Consider the following 16,774-nt stretch of genomic DNA (forward strand, 5'->3'; position numbering starts at 1 on the left):
GTGGTATGCACATTAAAGATACAGTTTCAAGTTTTTAAAAATTTCAATAATAATTTCAGCAAAGTTTTCTTGAATTCTAGTTTCTAATATCCACTTTATTCCATTGGTTTGGTTTCTTTCTTTGGTGACTCCTGTTATATGTATGTTGAATCTTCTTTTTCTATCTTTTTTTGTCACTTTATTGTAAATTTTTATTATCTCGTATGTAATTTCTTTTTTATATTACAACTTTCCTCCTTAGTCCCCCCTTTTTTTTCAACATTTGTTTACTCTTAAAGCATTATCTTCTGTGTTAATTTACTCTTATGTATCTTCTGGTTAGTTTTCATTTCTGAAATGATTTATCTTCTAATTCTTTCTTGAGTTCTGTCAACTTATTTCTATCTGTAATTCTTATTTGTGTTATTCCACATCTTTTGTCATTTTCTTAATTTCTCTTGGCTCACTTTGAAATAATAATTTACAGTTTTCATCTGTTGGTGGATATGTCTTTTTGGAAACTTTGATTTTCTGTTGTTTAGACCCTTATTTTTATGTTTTTCTGTTTCTTACTCCTTTTTCTTAATAATAACTTTACATATTATTTGACCATAGAACTTTTCTGTTGGCTTATTTTTATGTGAAATTAATTTTTCTGAATTGGTAGGAGGGATTTGTAGGCCAGGATAGCTTTGTAGCTTTATGTCTCTAGAGCTTATTCTTTTTTTACTTTCATGAAATAAAAAAAAAATGGTCTCATTCTTTCAGAGATCTCTTGTTCATCTCTCTCTTTTTCATTTTTATTTGGACCTTTTTCCTTTTCTCCCTTTACCCCTGTTTTCAGTTTGGAGTTCATTCTCAGCAGTTTCTTCTCAGTGTGGGCTAGAACTGTGCTGTCCAGTCAGATCTAATAATTACATGTGTGGCTACTTAAAGCTAAATTTAAATAAACTTTATTTAATAATAACTTAAATAAACTTTAAACTTTTGATTTCTTGTCTATACCAGCTATGTTACAAGTGGTTAATAGCTACATGTGACGACTAGTGGCTGTTGTATTGGGCATTGCCCATGTAGAGCACTATCATTACCACAGCAAATCCTATTAGACAGTGATGCTTTTGAGTGTGCTCCATTCTCTTGAGACTTTTATCATAGGCCTTTTTCATTCATCTGCAAATTGCAATGAGCATAACTACCCTCTGTTTTGGCTAATATTCCTAAATTGGGCTGCTGTGCTTTTTATTAAGGATGCAGTACATTGGGAATCTCCTCTTGTCAGATCCATTAGACATTCTCCTTCCACCTGCTTTCTCTTGCATAGATGCTTATACCACATTAGTATTTTTGTTTTTTGTTTTCCAGACACAGGATCTCGCTCTGTTGCCCAGGCTGGAGTGCAGTGGCTAGATCACAGCAACTTTCTGGGCTCAAGCAGTCCTCCTGCCTCAGCCTCTTGAGTAGCTGGATTACAGGCACACACTACCAAGCCTAGATTTTTTTTTTTTTTTTTTAAAGTAAAGATGAGGTCTCACTCTGTTGCCCAGGCTGGTCTTGAACTCCTGGACTCAAGCAGTCCTCCTGCCTCAGCCTCTCAAAGTGCTGGGATTACAGGCATGAGCCATTGCGCATGTCCCCAACCAGTTTTGTAACTATAAATGGTTTGTTTCTATTTGTTCACTTCTCTGGGTTTGGGAATGAGGGACCTTGTCCCTTCATTTTCATGTAGATATTCATCAGTTTGTGTTTTTACTAGAGAAGTTCTAGTTTCTTTGATTTTTTTTTTTTTTTTTTTTTTTTTTGAGACAGAGTCTCTGTTGCCTAGGCTGGAGTGCAGTGGTGCGATCTCAGCTCACTGCAGCCTCCACCTGCTGTTCAAGCCATTCTCGTGCCTCAGCCTCCCTAGTAGCTGGGATTACAGGCATGTGCCACCACGCTCGGCTAACTTTTTGTATTTTTAGTAGAGACAGGGTTTCACCATGTTGGCCAGGCTGGTCTTGAACTTTTGACCTCAAGTGATCCACCTGCCTTGGTCTCCCAAAGTTCTGGGATTACAAATGTGAGCCACCGCACCTGGCCATTTCTCTGATTTTTATGGGATACTTAGGGAGATTCACCAGCTGCATTTTATGAAACCCTAGTTCAAGAAACATACTGGAAAAGGAGATATGGTCACAAAGAATAGGAGATGTTTCTAAGGGAAATAATAAATTAAAATGAAAGTTACAGTGACTTGTGCTCACTGAATCTAAAACCCAGCTGATTAAAAATTTGGCAAAATAAAATTAAAAAGGTTATCTGTGCTCGTAAACAAAAGTCCCATTTTTGGCCTTTCAGGTTTTTTTCCTCCATAATCTTTATAATTAACATTACGAAGTTCTGTAGTTTCTGTTCTGCCCCCTCCTTTACACTCTAAAAATGCTGCCCCACCCCGCCAATTTCATTTAGTATTTCCTTTTTTTTTTTTTTTTTTTTTTATTTGAGATGGAGTCTCGCCCGATCGCCAGGCTGGAGTGCAGTGGCGTAATCTCGGCTCACTGCAATCTCTGCCTCCTGGGTTCATGCCATTCTCCTGCCTCAGCCTCCCGAGTAGCTTGGATTACAGGCACGTGGCACTACACCCAGCTAATTTTTGTATTTTTAGTAGAGTCTGGGTTCACCATGTTGGCCAGGTTGGTCTCAATCTCCTGACCTCGTGGTCTGCCTGACTTGGCCTCCGAAAGTGCTGGGATGAGCCACCGTGCCCAGCCTATTTAGTATTTCTTTACTATCAAAATAATCGTCCATTATTAACTGATTTAGCAAACTTGGGCATGCCCCTCGGTCTCTTTCCACCTTTAGTTGTACTATGTTAAAAATGAGAAAGTTATATTCAGGTTTGTTTTTTTCACAGAGGAACATTGCTAGGTTTCTCTGTTAGCATTAGCAGGGTTTAATATTAACAGTAAGTATGTCCATGATGCTTTAAATACAGAATGCTATTTTTGAGCAGAGTAGAGATGAACTTCTAGACAGTGGAACTTAACTCATTCACAGAGAAATGTAAATGTGGTCTTCTCATAGAATATTTTTTCTCATGGGATTTGTCTGCTTGTGTTCTGTTATCCCTTCAATTGTGTAGCTGAGGGTGCTTATCTTACTGAGTGAGTCTTACTGTTTTTTCCCCAGGTTTTATAGTTTGTTCTTGCTTCTGAACAATCAGCAGTTGTTTGCCATTATTGACAAGAAGTCTAGGGCATAGATTTTCTTGATCTGTTTTTCTTTTAATGTTTGAGTTCAATGGATAAGGGAAACGGTTGTATGCATTTTATTGCAGACATTCTCTGAAATAATTTTTAGCCACAAGCAAATAGCTCTGTTTCTGTGAGTCATCATTTCTTCTTATATAGTGCTGGATAAAGAATTCTATTTTGTAGATAGAGATTTATGACTTCCAGAAAGAAAGCTGCAAAAATGGAAGTTTCCAAAGAATTTAAGATTTGCTATAATAAATGCTATCATATATTGGTGTTTGAGATGCAAATGTACATATCTGTGTATCATATATTGGAGGTTGATTGAAAATCGGAGTTTGAGATGCAAGTATAGGTATCTGTGGTTGATGCAGTTTTCCTAAAACGTCATGATTTTCAATGGCAAGTAAGTTATTTATGGTCGTTTTTAAGGATAAGCTGTTAACGTGTTTTTTTTTTCTTTTTTTTTCAGCTTCCAATAAAAACAGGACAGCAGAACACACATACCAAAGTCAGTACTGAGCACAACAAGGAATGTCTAATCAATATTTCCAAATACAAGTTTTCTTTGGTTATAAGCGGCCTCACTACTATTTTAAAGAATGTTAACAATATGGTGAGTATTTGGGTTACTGTGTTTTGGGGAATTTGCTTTCTTTTCTTTTTGATTAAAAAGTTTAGAACAGCATATTTTGAAGTATGGAAAGTGATTTTCTGTGGACTTTGGATATAACCATTAATCTTATTTTGTTTACGAGCACAGATAACCTTTTAATTTTATTTTGTCAAATTTTTAATCAGCTGGGTTTTAGATTCAGTGAGCACAAGTAACTGTAACTTTCATTTTAATTTATTATTTCCCTTAGAAACATCTCCTATCTTTTGTGACCATGTCTCCTTTTCCAGTATGTTTCTTGAATTAGGATTTCATAGAGCTTTTGTGGCCTACACGAATTGACCACAGTAATCCATTACACATATTTTTCTTTAGCATCTTGTTTGAATTTACTTACGGTTGTCCCAGCCCTAAGTAGATGATAAAATATGATCTCATAGTCCTAAAATGTGGATTGATTTTTTTATGAAGATATGTGTTTTTTCTTCCTTCTGTAACCTGTGACAGATTCTGTAGTAGTTACCCTGTTGTTGAAACAGTTTTTCTCAAATACCAGTTTCATCAAATAATTCCACTGTTAAAAGCTCATAATTTCTTTCTTCTTCCCATTTTCTAAAATCGATTGACGTTTCCTAGACTTCAGAGTACTCCAGCTGTCCTCCCTCTGTACCTTTGAACATATAACATCTTTTGTCTTTCTCAAGTGATCCCTTCCTCTCTCTAAATTCCTATTTAACATCTCCATTCTAAGCTGTTTCAAACTAACATACTCAGTTCATGGCAACTGATCTGGATTTTTCTTGATTAACTCTGAACTCTCTGCTGGTGTTTAGCATTTATTTATTTATTTATGAATGAATAAATGAATGAATGAATGAATGACAGGGTCTCATTCTGTCACCCAGGCTGGAGTGCAGTGGCGCAATCTCGGCTTACTGTAACCTCCCCCTTCCCAGTTCAAGTGATTTTGCTGCCTCAGGCTCCCCAGTAGCTGGAATTACAGGCATGTGCCACCATGCTCGGCTAATTTTTTTGTATTTTTAGTAGAGACGAGGTTTCACTATTTTGGCCAGGCTGGTCTCAAACTCCTGACATTAGGTGATCCGCCTGCCTCGGCCTCCCAAAGTGCTGAGATTACAGGTGTGAGCCACCGCGCCCAGCCTGCATTTATAATCCCAGTTTGTATTTGTTTGTATTGAGTTGTGAAACAACTTCTGGTTATAGATTGTGAAGATTGTTCCCCCTTCCTTTTTTTTGAGATGGTCCTTAGGTTTATTAGATAATATTCTAGTATGACATTGAAAAGACATGAAGTTACCTTTTTGCCTTATTCCCATATTTTAGATAATTTTTCTCTTGTTCTATTTTATTTTTAACTGGCATACAATAATTGTACATGTTTATGGGTACATATTGATGTTTCAATACATATAATACATAGTGATCCCACTAGGGTAATTAGCATATCCATCATCTCAATATTTATCATTTCTTTGTGTTGGGAATATTGAATATTCTCTTGTTATTTGAAACTATATAATGTTAACTGTAGGCCAGGCATGGTGGCTCACGCCTGTAATCCCAGCACTTTGGGAGGCCAAGACGGGCGGATCACGAGGTCAGGAGATCAAGACCATCCTGTCTAACATGGTGAAACCCCGTCTCTACTAAAAAAAAAAAAAAAAAAAACTTAGCGGGGTGTGGCGGCATGTGCCTGTAGTCCCAGCTACTCAGGAGGCTGAGACAGGAGAATGGCGTGAACCCGGGAGGCGGAGCTTGTAGTGAGCCAGGATGCGCCACTGCACTCCAGCCTGGGTGACAGAGTGAGACTCCGTCTCAAAAAAAAAAAGTTAACTATATAATGTTAACATAGTCATTCTACAGTAGTACAGAACACTAAGTCTTATTCTTCCTATAAAGCTATATTTCTGTATCCTTTAACAAATCTCTACCCACCCCGATTCTCCCTACCCGACCCTTCTTACCTCTAGTGTCCTCTCTTCTACTTTTTACTCTTTTTAGCTTCCACATATGAGTGAGAGCATGTGGTGTTTAACTTTTTGTTCGCATCATCCTTGGTGTGTTTCCTTTTAAGAAAGTTGCTTACACAATACCCTAAACTTACAAAACTAATAAACTGGAGGTGTAGAAAATCATTTACCTTCTTTATGGAAAAAATTAGTATTTTCCCCCCAAAAGCAGGACCATTTATAAATAGGTAAAGAGATTTACGGAAAGACATTTAACATTTTTTGTAGCTCCTCTGTTGCAGTGTGTGGGGCACAGTTTAGTATTTGCACATATGAATATGTGGCTGTGTTCCCAGTTATATTGAAATATTTTAATATTTGGGACCCTCTTTTCAAAACAAAACAGCATTGTTATATTGGCGTTCATTTAGTGCTTATTAAATAAGTTTTCAAAACCATAGTCTCTTGTTAATAAATACATATGTAGTATTCATTTTGAGGATAGTGAGTACTTAAAATTCACTGTGGTGCTATAGCATGTTTTTGCTATAAAAATTAAGACTTTGATCATTTCGTGGCATAAAAGTATAGTTAAATCCCCAATTCAAGATTCTGGTACAGGTCTATATGTGTGTCTAAATCCTACATATTTTTAAAGCATGAAGCAAAACAGCATCTTTTACTGTTACAAGGTTAATGGCAGACTCTAATAAATGCCATTTCTGTTTGCCTTAGACTTTAGTTTTTATGAGGATTAGGATAAAATCAGAAATAATATATTTAAGTATAGTATAATCTGGGAGGTAAAATGGAAGACTATTGTTGATCTTTTAGTCTTTCACTTTTCAGATGTGTGTTGATTGGTAGCAGAAAGTGAAACTAACTTTTATGTTCTGAATATCTTTTCTGTTAGAGAATATTTGGAGAAGCTGCTGAAAAAAATTTATATCTCTCTCAGTTGATTATATTGGATACACTGGAAAAATGTCTTGCTGGGGTAAGTAAATTGATCTTAAGTAGGCAGGCTTTGTGAATTTGATCTTGAGAATGATCTTATGTCCCAAAGTACAGATGTGGACCAAGAGGACAGTCCTATGGACTTTTGTCTGAGACATATAAATATGAGTTTTGTTAATATAGCTGACCTGGTGACAGACAATTTTTCATGAGAAAATTTTCTCATCTTTTGTAAATTAAACAGATATTAAGTTTACTTATAAAATGTTATGTTTCAGCCACGTATCTGTCTCTCAGGTTTTTAGGAAAATATTTTATGAAGAGATCACTATTTGATTTAACGGATCTCTCAGAGAGTTGTGGGAGAGTGCGATTCAGAAGTCCAAGAGTAATCTTGTATTTCCTCCTATATGAATATGATTTTAATATTCTACTTTTGAAATTTATGTAAATGAGAACTTAAAAATTAAACCTATTAAGGATAGATGTTACCTTGAGAACACTTGTTTTATGTAGACACACAAATATGCGATAGGTATGTGGAGGAGGAGAGTACCAAACAATTATTTCTCTGGTTTCCTGTAAGTTGTTACCACAGTGTATTTCAACCATGACTTAATTTGAACTTTTTCAAGAGTATTTCTATTGTGTAAAGAAAGTATTTCTATACATCATTATCCTTAATTCTTCCTGGAACATGGTAAGAGTTTATATAAATATATAAATTAAATACCTCTGTTTTAATGATCTGCCTAATCCATGTGTATTGAAATTAACTCATTTCTTATGTTCTCTCTTCCTTTGGCTCAGAATTCAGAATTTTGTTTTGATTCAGAATTGCTTCCCTCTTCACATATGTTGCAGTTCTCTATAGTGAAACTAGTTGAAAGAGACCTTAATATATGAGGACTGATAGTGTGGTTGAGAAGTGTTGGTGGAAGCATTGGGGTAGGGCATTGAAAAAAAAATTATATTGACACAACTGTGTATCCCTAGGGAAGGCTGTAAGCGAAAAAATGTAAGCATAATATGTATATATATTTTTCTTTTGAGACAGAGTCTCACTCTGCGGCACAGGCTGAAGTGCAGTGGCACCCTCTCGGCTCATTGCAACCTCCACTTCCCGGGTTCAAGCTATTCTCATGCCTCAGCCTCCCAAGTAGCTGGGATTACAGGCATGTACCACCATGCTCAGCTATTTTTTTTGTATTTTCATAAGCCATGGGGGTTCACTATGTTGGTCAGGCTAGTTTTGAACTCCTATCCTCAAGTGATCCGCCCATTTTAGCCTCCCAAACTCCTGGGATTACAGATGTGAACCACTGTGCCTGCCCTAAGCATAATATTTTAAATTTTCTTATTGACCGTTGACCATATTCCAAAATTGTGGAGACAGTGTTTATAAGTTTTCTACTTAAAATCGAAGGTGAGCTAGTTGTTTTAGCATGGTATTTTCCGTTAACTTGTGATATGCTATTGTTCATGTGTAAAATGGAGTGAAAGAGCAAAAGAGCTGTTACATAGGATGATGGAACTGGGAAGATGGGCAAATTTTAAACTTTTCTTGAATCAGTTTTTTCCAGTGGTCTTATTACTTTGACTGCAAATTACCAGTATATCAGCCACACCCATGACTGAATGGTGGGGCGTGGGGTCATATATTGCCTTGTTCAGTTTCACAGCTTTTCTCCATTAACATTTGTAATTGAGAGGTAATAATGAATGTATTTTGGAGAATGATTACCGATATTATTGGCCTCTGTTTGATTTAATACTCTTTGAAGATAGCCTAATTGAAATGCTAATAAGTGGGCCTAGTATAACTTATGTAATGCATAAAATGTATATTATCTTGCCGTGCTCTACTGTTGAAAAATGTGTATGCTTTTTCATTAAATTTACTATTTAAAAAGTAATGCTATTTATATTATTGAACAATTGTTTTATTTCCTTCAGTGATTTTACAGATGTTTCTTGATTCTTACTTTTAAATCAAAGTAAATTGAGGCAGTTTAAGAAGAACGGAGCTCACAAGTATACGTTTGTTATACATAGTTGGAATATTTAAGTGAAAGAAAAATACTTACCAATATGTTATGAGTGCAATTTTGTAGAATTTGAGGAATCTTAAGTATTTTTGTTCCTGTGAATATGACTATTATTTAAAAGATTTAATACTTCTTAGATTTTTATTTGTTAGAGTTAACATCTGTATTGTTTGGTTAGCCTATAAACAAGAAATAGGCATTGTAATGTGAATTCACAGGTTTTTGTGAAGTCTGTTTATGTACTGTCCCTATGTTTCAGTGTATTTGCATCTGAGAGTGCTTGGATTGCAGTTACAGAATTGAGCGTAGCATACAATTGTACACATTTTTGTTCTTTGCCATCTTGCTCAGTGTTATTAAAATTCTTATCCGCATGTAGTTATCAAGACTGTTAGGTGAAATAGTAATGTGGAACAGCATACCTACAGGATAGCTTATCCATTGATTGTGTGTTAATTGTAAAGTATATATTTACAAAGTAGAGATTTCACTGTTAACACCGAAGTTATCAAACTTGGTGTCAATAACAGGACCACCTGGCCTTATGTTCTCATGGTGTGATGTAATATAACCTATAGTGAATCCCCTAAACTGTTTAACCTCAATCTAATCAGACCATTAGGTTTAAATTTTAGCTTACAGAAAATATACAGGCCGGGCACCATGGCTCACGCCTGGAATCCCAGCACTTTGGGAGATCGAGACAGGCGGAGAGCTTGAGGTCAGGAATCCAAGACCAGCCTGGCCAACATGGCAAAACCCCATATCTGCTAAAAATACAAAAATTAGCCAGATGTGGTGGCACATGTCTGTAGTCCCAGCTACTTGGGAGGCTGAGGCAGGAGAACCACTTGAAACCAGGAGGCAGAGGTTGGAGTGAGCCAAGATTGCGCCACTGCACTCCAGCCTGGGCCACAGAGCGAGACTCCATCTCAAAAAAAAAAAAAAAAAAAAAAGAACGAAAATATACAATACAGTAACTAGAAGAGCAAATCAACCTATGTCACTGGAAAATAATTAAATCAAGGATATGGAACATTCTGTAAGGCAGCTGGCCCACTTAAAGTCATGGGAAATAAGAGTGGTGAATATGGGCCAGGCGTAGTGGCTCACGCCTGTAATCCCAGCACTTTGGGAGGCCGAGGAGGGCGGATCACTTGAGGTCAGGAGTTCGAGACCAGCCTAGCCAACATGGCAAAACCCCGTCTCTACTAAAAATACAAAAATTAGCTGGGCATGGTGGCGGGCGCCTGTAATCCCAGCTATTAGGGAGGCTGAGGCAGGAGAATTGCTTTAACCCTGGAGGTGGAAGTTGCAGTGAGCTGAGATTGCGCCCTTGCATAGAATAGTGAAACTAAGGAAACATCATGTTGTAATCGGTGAACTTTTTTGGATCCTTATTGAATAAAAATGCCTATGAAAGACATTTTGGGGGCAGTGGTGAAATTTGAATTCAGACTTGGTATTAGATGATACAAGGGAATTGTTTATTTTTCCTTGGTGTGTTAATTGTATTGAAGTTACATTAGAGAAAATTCTTTTAAGAGATGCCAAGGCACATGGGGTGAAGTATTCTATTTATAATTTACTTTGAAAAGATTTCAACCAAAATAAAATTACTTTGAGTAGGTAGTGTCTGTTTTGGTCAGTCTGCACAAAAGCAAGTGTGATGGCTCACCCAGGAATTTACTTAAATGTCAAGACAGATGACACAATGCACTCATCAATCAATATGAATTAAGTCGATTCTGTAATTGTAGAACTCACAGCAAACTGGGGATTCCCAGGGAAGGGCTCGTTTGGTGAACAAGAGAGCAAGCAGGAATGGGAGGACTGGTAAGGATGGCAGGGGGATTGAACTTTAATTGTGATTATGGGGTCAGAGATGGAACCATCCTCTTTATTAAACTATCTATAGACAGATGTAGCAAATATGATGAAACGTTAACAGTTGTTAAATCTAGGTGGTGTGTATGTAAGGTGTTCATTATTTTTGTTCTGTGTGTGTGTTTGAAAATTTTCATAATAGAAAATGTTTACAGGTAAAATTAAAGTTTAGAATAATGTGATTATTTCTATTTTAGCAACCAAAGGACACAATGAGATTAGATGAAACGATGCTGGTCAAACAGTTGCTGCCAGAAATCTGCCATTTTCTTCACACCTGTCGTGAAGGAAACCAGCATGCAGCTGAACTTCGGAATTCTGCCTCTGGGGTTTTATTTTCTCTCAGCTGCAACAACTTCAATGCAGTCTTTAGTCGCATTTCTACCAGGTTAGTGTGTAAATCCACATGGGACTACTGAAGTAATATGAATATTAGAAGTTTTGTTTTTTGTCTACATAAAAATAAAAAGTTAATGGAAATGAGGTTTTTTTGTTTTTGAGACAAGTTCTTTTGCCCCTCACAGCAGCTTTGACCTCCCAGGCTTAGGTGATCCTCCTACCTCAGCCTCCAGAGAAATGAGTTTGTCTGGGCTTGCGTAGAAATTTTATGCATTAATATCTTTGACATTTTAATTGCGTAATATTGTGATATTGATATGTGCAATTAAATAAGAGCACTGTTATGAATGTGAAAGTCTAAATTTCAGATAAAAATATCTGCCGTGAGCAGGCTTTAAAAAACAATACTAGGTATGAACTTTTGGTTTGGCTTTTTAAACATATTATCCCTTTAAATGAAACTACCCAATTAGATGGAATAATTAATGAGAGTAGTCAGAATTCAAATACTTTCACAACTCTACCCTTTATCACAAGATTTTAGGTTACCAAAAAACAAAACAAAAACAAAAACAAAAAAACCTAAGTGATGTGAAAACACAAGGAGGTGAATAATTGCAAAGTAGAATTCTCCAGAAAGTGGACTACATTTTAAATGTATGTAAAATACTGCCATTTATTGAGTATTTATAGCATTTCCTTTGCTGTCTCATCCTCACAGTAACCTTGATGATACTTCCCTCATTTTACAGGTGAGCAAACTAATACTCAAAAAAGTTCAGGTGATGTGCCAAATAATGGAGGACCCAAAATTTCTAAGTCAGGCTGGCTTCAGAATTTATATTAGTTTCACTATACCAGATTGCTTCCCTATCTATTTTAGCCACATTTTGATGAAATCTGTTTTATAAAATATACTTCTGTTTTTAAAGATGTATCAAAAATATAATTTAAGCTTTTATTGATGACTCAAAATCATCCTGAGCATTAGTTGTGATATGCTACCTACAGGTGGAGAAATTAGTATAGGTAGTGCTCTATGGGATAGAATTATAAGTGACAGTAGCAAGTAGCTGCAAATTGTTGTTATGCACATGATTTGCCTTTCTAAGGCAAGTAAAGTCAGATGGGTTATTAACTTAATTAGAAACTATAGCACAAATTATTTAGTGATTCGTGAATCGAAGACTAATACCGAATAGAGAAAAACAATCCTCTTTGTTGGTGCCTGCATCTTTGGCTCGTCAGTGTTGTACGAACAGTGGACTTTGATTATTCAGATTTACTGATTCCTTTGTTGTTTTCCAGCAGGTGTGAAAGACAACATACATCACCATTTGAGAATTTGTGTTACGGTTTTTTGGGGGAATTGATTAACTTCAGAGTCCTGCAATCTTTTTAATCAACAATGACATTTCTATAATTAAGATCCTAGGCAGCAATATTTTTCAACCTCAATGCAATTCTTGATCCAAAGAAAATTAAAGTTTTATTTAATGGTATATTATTGATAATCTTGGGTAATATTTACATGATAGAAAAATGTTTTCATGAAATCTTTTGAGCAGTAACGTTTTATATTATGAATAATAATACAGTGGTTGAGTCAGCAAGGTAACAAACACCTAGAGAGTAGGAGGGTGGAAAATTGTATTTAATAAAAAACGCAAACCCTTTTCATTTAGGTGACTGCTAGGCCGGCCTTACTATTTGAAACACCTGTTAAATTAAAGGTAGAAAGTGGTACAAAAAAACCCAAATGTCTTGTAGTCTATCAATGCATGAACTGCCTTATAGAACACAACAAATGTGCCACCTTGGAAAATTCTAGAAAATTTCTAGTCACCAAAGGTTTTACTTTATGGGATTTTGCAGCATTAGCACATGTAAAAATAAGCAACTTTTGTTTATTTCCTGAATCTAGTTCACTGTTGCCAGAATAGAAACCAAGTGTCTAAAATTTTATTAGCTTTCAGAGGACAGACCACTCAGAAATGGCATCTGTGAAATAACATTGTTTCAGACAACTGCATTTTCAGTTCCATTTAGCTTGTGTCAGAAATAGGAGCTGATCTTACTGAAGGATCACTCACCTAAAAGACCATTATGATGGTTTAGTTTAGGTTGGAACATCTTATGCTGTCATCGTCATAGTATTAGGTGACTTAAAATATGTGTGTGGCTTGAATGGTAGTTCTTTCTAAAGATTGATCTTATGTTTTATATATAATAGATGAATCAGTATCATGAAGATGTTTCGTGTTTGTCCATTCTCCCCGTCAATGTTTCTCCTTTAAGATTAAGATTTGGTTTTTATATTTCTGACCTTTACTTTTCTTTAGGGGAAGATAGGCTATAGATTTATTTATTTTATGTTTTTGAGACACAGTCTCTCTCTGTCACCTAGTCTGGAGTGCAGTGATGTGAACATGTCTCACTGCAGCCTCGACCTCCTGGGCTCAAGAGATCCTCCCACCTCAGCCTCTTGAGTAGCTGGGACTACAGGCACGTGCCACCATGCCCGGCTAGTTTCTTTAATTTTTTTGTAGAGACGGGGTCTTGCCATGTTGCCCAGGCTTGTCTTGAACCCCTGGGCTCAAGGGATCCTCCTGCCTTGGCCTCCCAAAGTGTTGGGATTACAGGATGTGAGCTACCATGCCTGGCTGGCTATAAATCTTAAGATAGCTTTATTTTTCTCTGGGAGTATACCATTTTCTGTGGCTTATAGTATTTATGTAGCGGAGTAACTGCTTTCTCCACAGAATTACTCCACAAATGCAGTTGATCTAGTTGTTTTGTAGTGAGAAGGTGCTTCAGAATATCTCATTTGATATACCACCAGAAGCAGAAAACTCAATGACTTTAAAAGTCATTTGGTTCTTTACAGTTTACTATTTGGTTCCATACAAATCTGTTCGTTATGGTTTCTTACTCTTTTTTTAAAAATAGTTTTCAGTTTTTTTATATGTCTCTGATCATTTAAAACGTATTTTACGTTCTCTTTAGTATTGTTTAATATTGATTTGTTTGTGCTGATTCATTCATAGTGAATTGTTTCATCTCAGTTTTGGAATCCTTGATTGCAAAGTTATCTTTAGTGTGGCCTGTATTTTCTTTGAGAATCCTTGTAGCCTTGGGCTGAGGGAGTGTTCTAGTGATGGTTTTGCATTTGCATTTGCCAGGTGCCCAGTTCTGGAGCTATTTTTTTCTTAATTTCTCAGTCCCAGCCTGTATGGGCAGTATAAATTTGAACCCTAAACTCTTAGAAGGTAAACAGCTCTAGGTGACTTTTTTCACTTTATCCAAAGTTTAGGCAGAGCAGTTAAGCTTCTTTGTGCTGGTAGGTTTTTTTCTTTTTTTCTTTTTGTGGGGAGTGGGGGCGGCAGGGGGAGTGCATTGTTCTTTCTAGTTCATGTTTTATGCAGGGCCCAAGTTAGAATCCTGAATTATTAGGGTACAAGGCGTTTATATCCAGTCTCCATGTGGATGTTAAGCCCCAAGCTCCTAGGTTAAGGAGATCAAAAACCTCACTCATCTTTCCTTTGTTGCAGGGCTGGGTCATGTACTTGTGCACTTAACTCTCTGGTTTTCAGTTTTCTTCTTCTTTTCTGGACCTATACATTTAAAATATCTTTCAGTATGCCTAGACTTTCTAGCTGTTTTAGTGATAGGTTTTCTACTGTTCATTTCTTTTGCTCAGACTACGCTTTATTTGATTTCTCTGCTTCGGAAATGATGTTTAACCTTCACAAAATACCTGCTCTCTATAAGGGTACCAGACTATAAAAGGGACAAAATTTTTCTCCCATTTTTCACAAACAACCACAAGAGTCAACTTTTCAGAAGTTGGTATTGCTGATCTATGATGTTGTGTTTTCTGAGGAGCCGTACTCCATATTTCTACGCTCTTTGCAGCAGCTGTGGAATTTTTAGCATTGAGGACAACCTCATTCCCAGCTTGAAATGCTGAGCTTTTCTTACCCTGATGATAGGAAGAGAGTTCATGTAAGTGCTTAGAATAGTTGTACTGTTAGCTGTAGTCTAATTAAAGCTAAAGTGAGTGAAACGAGAATTTGAGAAGGAAGAATAGGATTGATTACATTCTTATCAACTGAAGGTTTAGTGTGATGATTAATAACTCCTTTGCAAATTGCACTAAATGATTGAAATTCAAGTTAATACATATAAATTATAAGACCATATAGTATTTGTGCCTTTTCACCATATCTCTATTGCTGCATTTATAAAAGTTTACAATTTAATTGTGCTGCTTATATTTTTTATGTCTATTAATATGAATAATGAGTATGCCTCATTAGGTAGCATGATTTAATAGATTAGCAATACCAACTTTTGAAAATCTGAGTGCTGTGGTTGTTGGTGTAAAATGGAAGAAAAGTTTAATGCCTTTTATTAACATTTAGGCTAAGTGAATTTCTTTTATCAGTTTAAAAATATCTACATATTTGTTAAGTGTTAAATGTTTCTACGTTTGTGATAACTTCATATTCAACATAGGAGAAGCTGGGGTTTAAACAGATATTCCTGTCCTTATAAGCTTATGTTCTGTGAAGTAGGGATATTAAGCAAATAATTACATAAATACATGTACAAACTGTGAAAAGTGCAATGAAAAAAGGCTTACTCGGTTTTCAAATACAAAGTAAATGTACCCTGTGAATATAAAGTTTCATTCGTGTTTCAAAAATCTAGTTGATAAAAGTAGAAGTTAGTAAAATCAAGTTTACTTATTATAGTTTTAGTCTTAATTCAAATTATACTTTTACTTGTAATTGGAAATATGAATTTTTAAAACTATTCATTGTGGAAAAATGGAAAAATACACATAGAATAGTACTTCAAATCCCCATGCATCTCTTACTCTGCTTTAACTGTTTCTGGCATGCTATGGTTTCTCTTCTTCCCTTTTCAGTAATTTAAAGCAAACCCCAGACATCATTTCACCTGTAAATATTTCAGTATATATCTCTAATAAATAGATTTTTAAGCATTTAACTATAATATTGTCATACCTATCAAGAATCATAATTCCTTAATATCATGCATTGCCAAATTTGTGGGTTTTTTCATTATCTCAGAAATGGCTTTTTTGTTTTGTTCAAATTAAGATACAAATAGGATGCGTACTTTGGAATTGGTTGATATTTCTCCTGAGCCTCTGTTAATCAGTATCATTTCTTCATTTCTTCACCTTGCTCTCCATTTTTTCCCATGCTGTTTATTTGTTGGACTGCGTTATTTGCCTTTCTACATTCTGTATTTGGGTTTCATTGGATTCACGTTCATTTGGCTGGGGGGGGACAAGAATACTTTACTGATGATGCTATGTGGTTCCTAATGAATCACATCAGGAAACATGTCCTATTATTGACTTTTAATGTTATGATCAGTGATTGGATTTCGATGTTATCAGCATTATGTATTCATTATACAGTTTCCCATAAATTTTTCCTAATGTTTTTAGTAATCACTGATGATCACTGCCTGGATTCCACTTCATTGGGGGCTGCAAAATGAAACGTTTTCTATTCTGTCATTCATTCTTTATTTTAAAATTGTGACTTCTATGAAAGATTTTTGCTTCATTGTGTGTTTAGTTATCTTGCAATACAGTCCATGTAGGGAATGCAGGATACAGACTTGACTTCCATTATTCGTTATCAGAATGAGTTGGTACCCTAACAGTTGCGAAAGGTTACCCATGAAGTTTTTTCTTTCAATATT

General features: G+C 35.8%; 1 protein-coding gene across 3 annotated transcripts in view, besides 15 other annotated features; it reads left to right on the top strand.

Moving 5' to 3' along the window:
- The window catches only part of NF1 (neurofibromin 1), a 282,699-nt gene that overhangs the window by 57,322 nt on the left and 208,603 nt on the right, over nucleotides 1-16,774 (top strand). For all 3 annotated transcript variants that reach the window (NM_001042492.3, NM_000267.4, NM_001128147.3), the window contains exons 2-4: nucleotides 3,685-3,828; nucleotides 6,712-6,795; nucleotides 10,888-11,078. In NM_001042492.3, the coding sequence (NP_001035957.1) occupies nucleotides 3,685-3,828; nucleotides 6,712-6,795; nucleotides 10,888-11,078 (419 nt within the window). The remainder of the gene's footprint in view (nucleotides 1-3,684; nucleotides 3,829-6,711; nucleotides 6,796-10,887; nucleotides 11,079-16,774) is intronic.
- Nucleotides 4,711-4,990: a mobile genetic element, noted in NCBI's record as "direction; reverse".
- Nucleotides 4,711-5,677: a biological region, named in NCBI's record as "NF1 intron 2 Alu-mediated recombination region". NCBI's record gives its function as "recombination_partner: LOC108281169".
- Nucleotides 4,754-4,761: a non allelic homologous recombination region, noted in NCBI's record as "UAB-3 distal breakpoint sub-region". NCBI's record gives the evidence for it as "EXISTENCE:nucleotide sequencing assay evidence [ECO:0000219][PMID:26189818]".
- Nucleotides 4,850-4,851: a non allelic homologous recombination region, noted in NCBI's record as "UAB-75 distal breakpoint sub-region". NCBI's record gives the evidence for it as "EXISTENCE:nucleotide sequencing assay evidence [ECO:0000219][PMID:26189818]".
- Nucleotides 5,380-5,677: a mobile genetic element, noted in NCBI's record as "direction; forward".
- Nucleotides 5,390-5,427: a non allelic homologous recombination region, noted in NCBI's record as "MUW-1, UAB-1, and UAB-2 intron 2 recombination t sub-region, recombines with the MUW-1, UAB-1, and UAB-2 intron 1 breakpoint sub-region within the NF1 intron 1 Alu-mediated recombination region". NCBI's record gives the evidence for it as "EXISTENCE:nucleotide sequencing assay evidence [ECO:0000219][PMID:26189818]".
- Nucleotides 5,391-5,427: a non allelic homologous recombination region, noted in NCBI's record as "UAB-7 proximal recombination sub-region, recombines with the UAB-7 distal recombination sub-region within the NF1 intron 3 Alu-mediated recombination region". NCBI's record gives the evidence for it as "EXISTENCE:nucleotide sequencing assay evidence [ECO:0000219][PMID:26189818]".
- Nucleotides 9,456-9,762: a mobile genetic element, noted in NCBI's record as "direction; forward".
- Nucleotides 9,456-10,144: a biological region, named in NCBI's record as "NF1 intron 3 Alu-mediated recombination region". NCBI's record gives its function as "recombination_partner: LOC108281181".
- Nucleotides 9,628-9,650: a non allelic homologous recombination region, noted in NCBI's record as "UAB-12 proximal recombination sub-region". NCBI's record gives the evidence for it as "EXISTENCE:nucleotide sequencing assay evidence [ECO:0000219][PMID:26189818]".
- Nucleotides 9,686-9,716: a non allelic homologous recombination region, noted in NCBI's record as "UAB-76 proximal recombination sub-region, recombines with the UAB-76 distal recombination sub-region within the NF1 intron 8 Alu-mediated recombination region". NCBI's record gives the evidence for it as "EXISTENCE:nucleotide sequencing assay evidence [ECO:0000219][PMID:26189818]".
- Nucleotides 9,897-10,144: a mobile genetic element, noted in NCBI's record as "direction; forward".
- Nucleotides 9,908-9,944: a non allelic homologous recombination region, noted in NCBI's record as "UAB-7 distal recombination sub-region". NCBI's record gives the evidence for it as "EXISTENCE:nucleotide sequencing assay evidence [ECO:0000219][PMID:26189818]".
- Nucleotides 9,914-9,931: a non allelic homologous recombination region, noted in NCBI's record as "UAB-10 distal recombination sub-region". NCBI's record gives the evidence for it as "EXISTENCE:nucleotide sequencing assay evidence [ECO:0000219][PMID:26189818]".
- Nucleotides 9,918-9,937: a non allelic homologous recombination region, noted in NCBI's record as "UAB-11 proximal recombination sub-region". NCBI's record gives the evidence for it as "EXISTENCE:nucleotide sequencing assay evidence [ECO:0000219][PMID:26189818]".

The sequence above is a fragment of the Homo sapiens genome, chromosome 17 (assembly GCF_000001405.40).
Source record: "Homo sapiens chromosome 17, GRCh38.p14 Primary Assembly".
Taxonomy (NCBI): domain Eukaryota; kingdom Metazoa; phylum Chordata; class Mammalia; order Primates; family Hominidae; genus Homo; species Homo sapiens.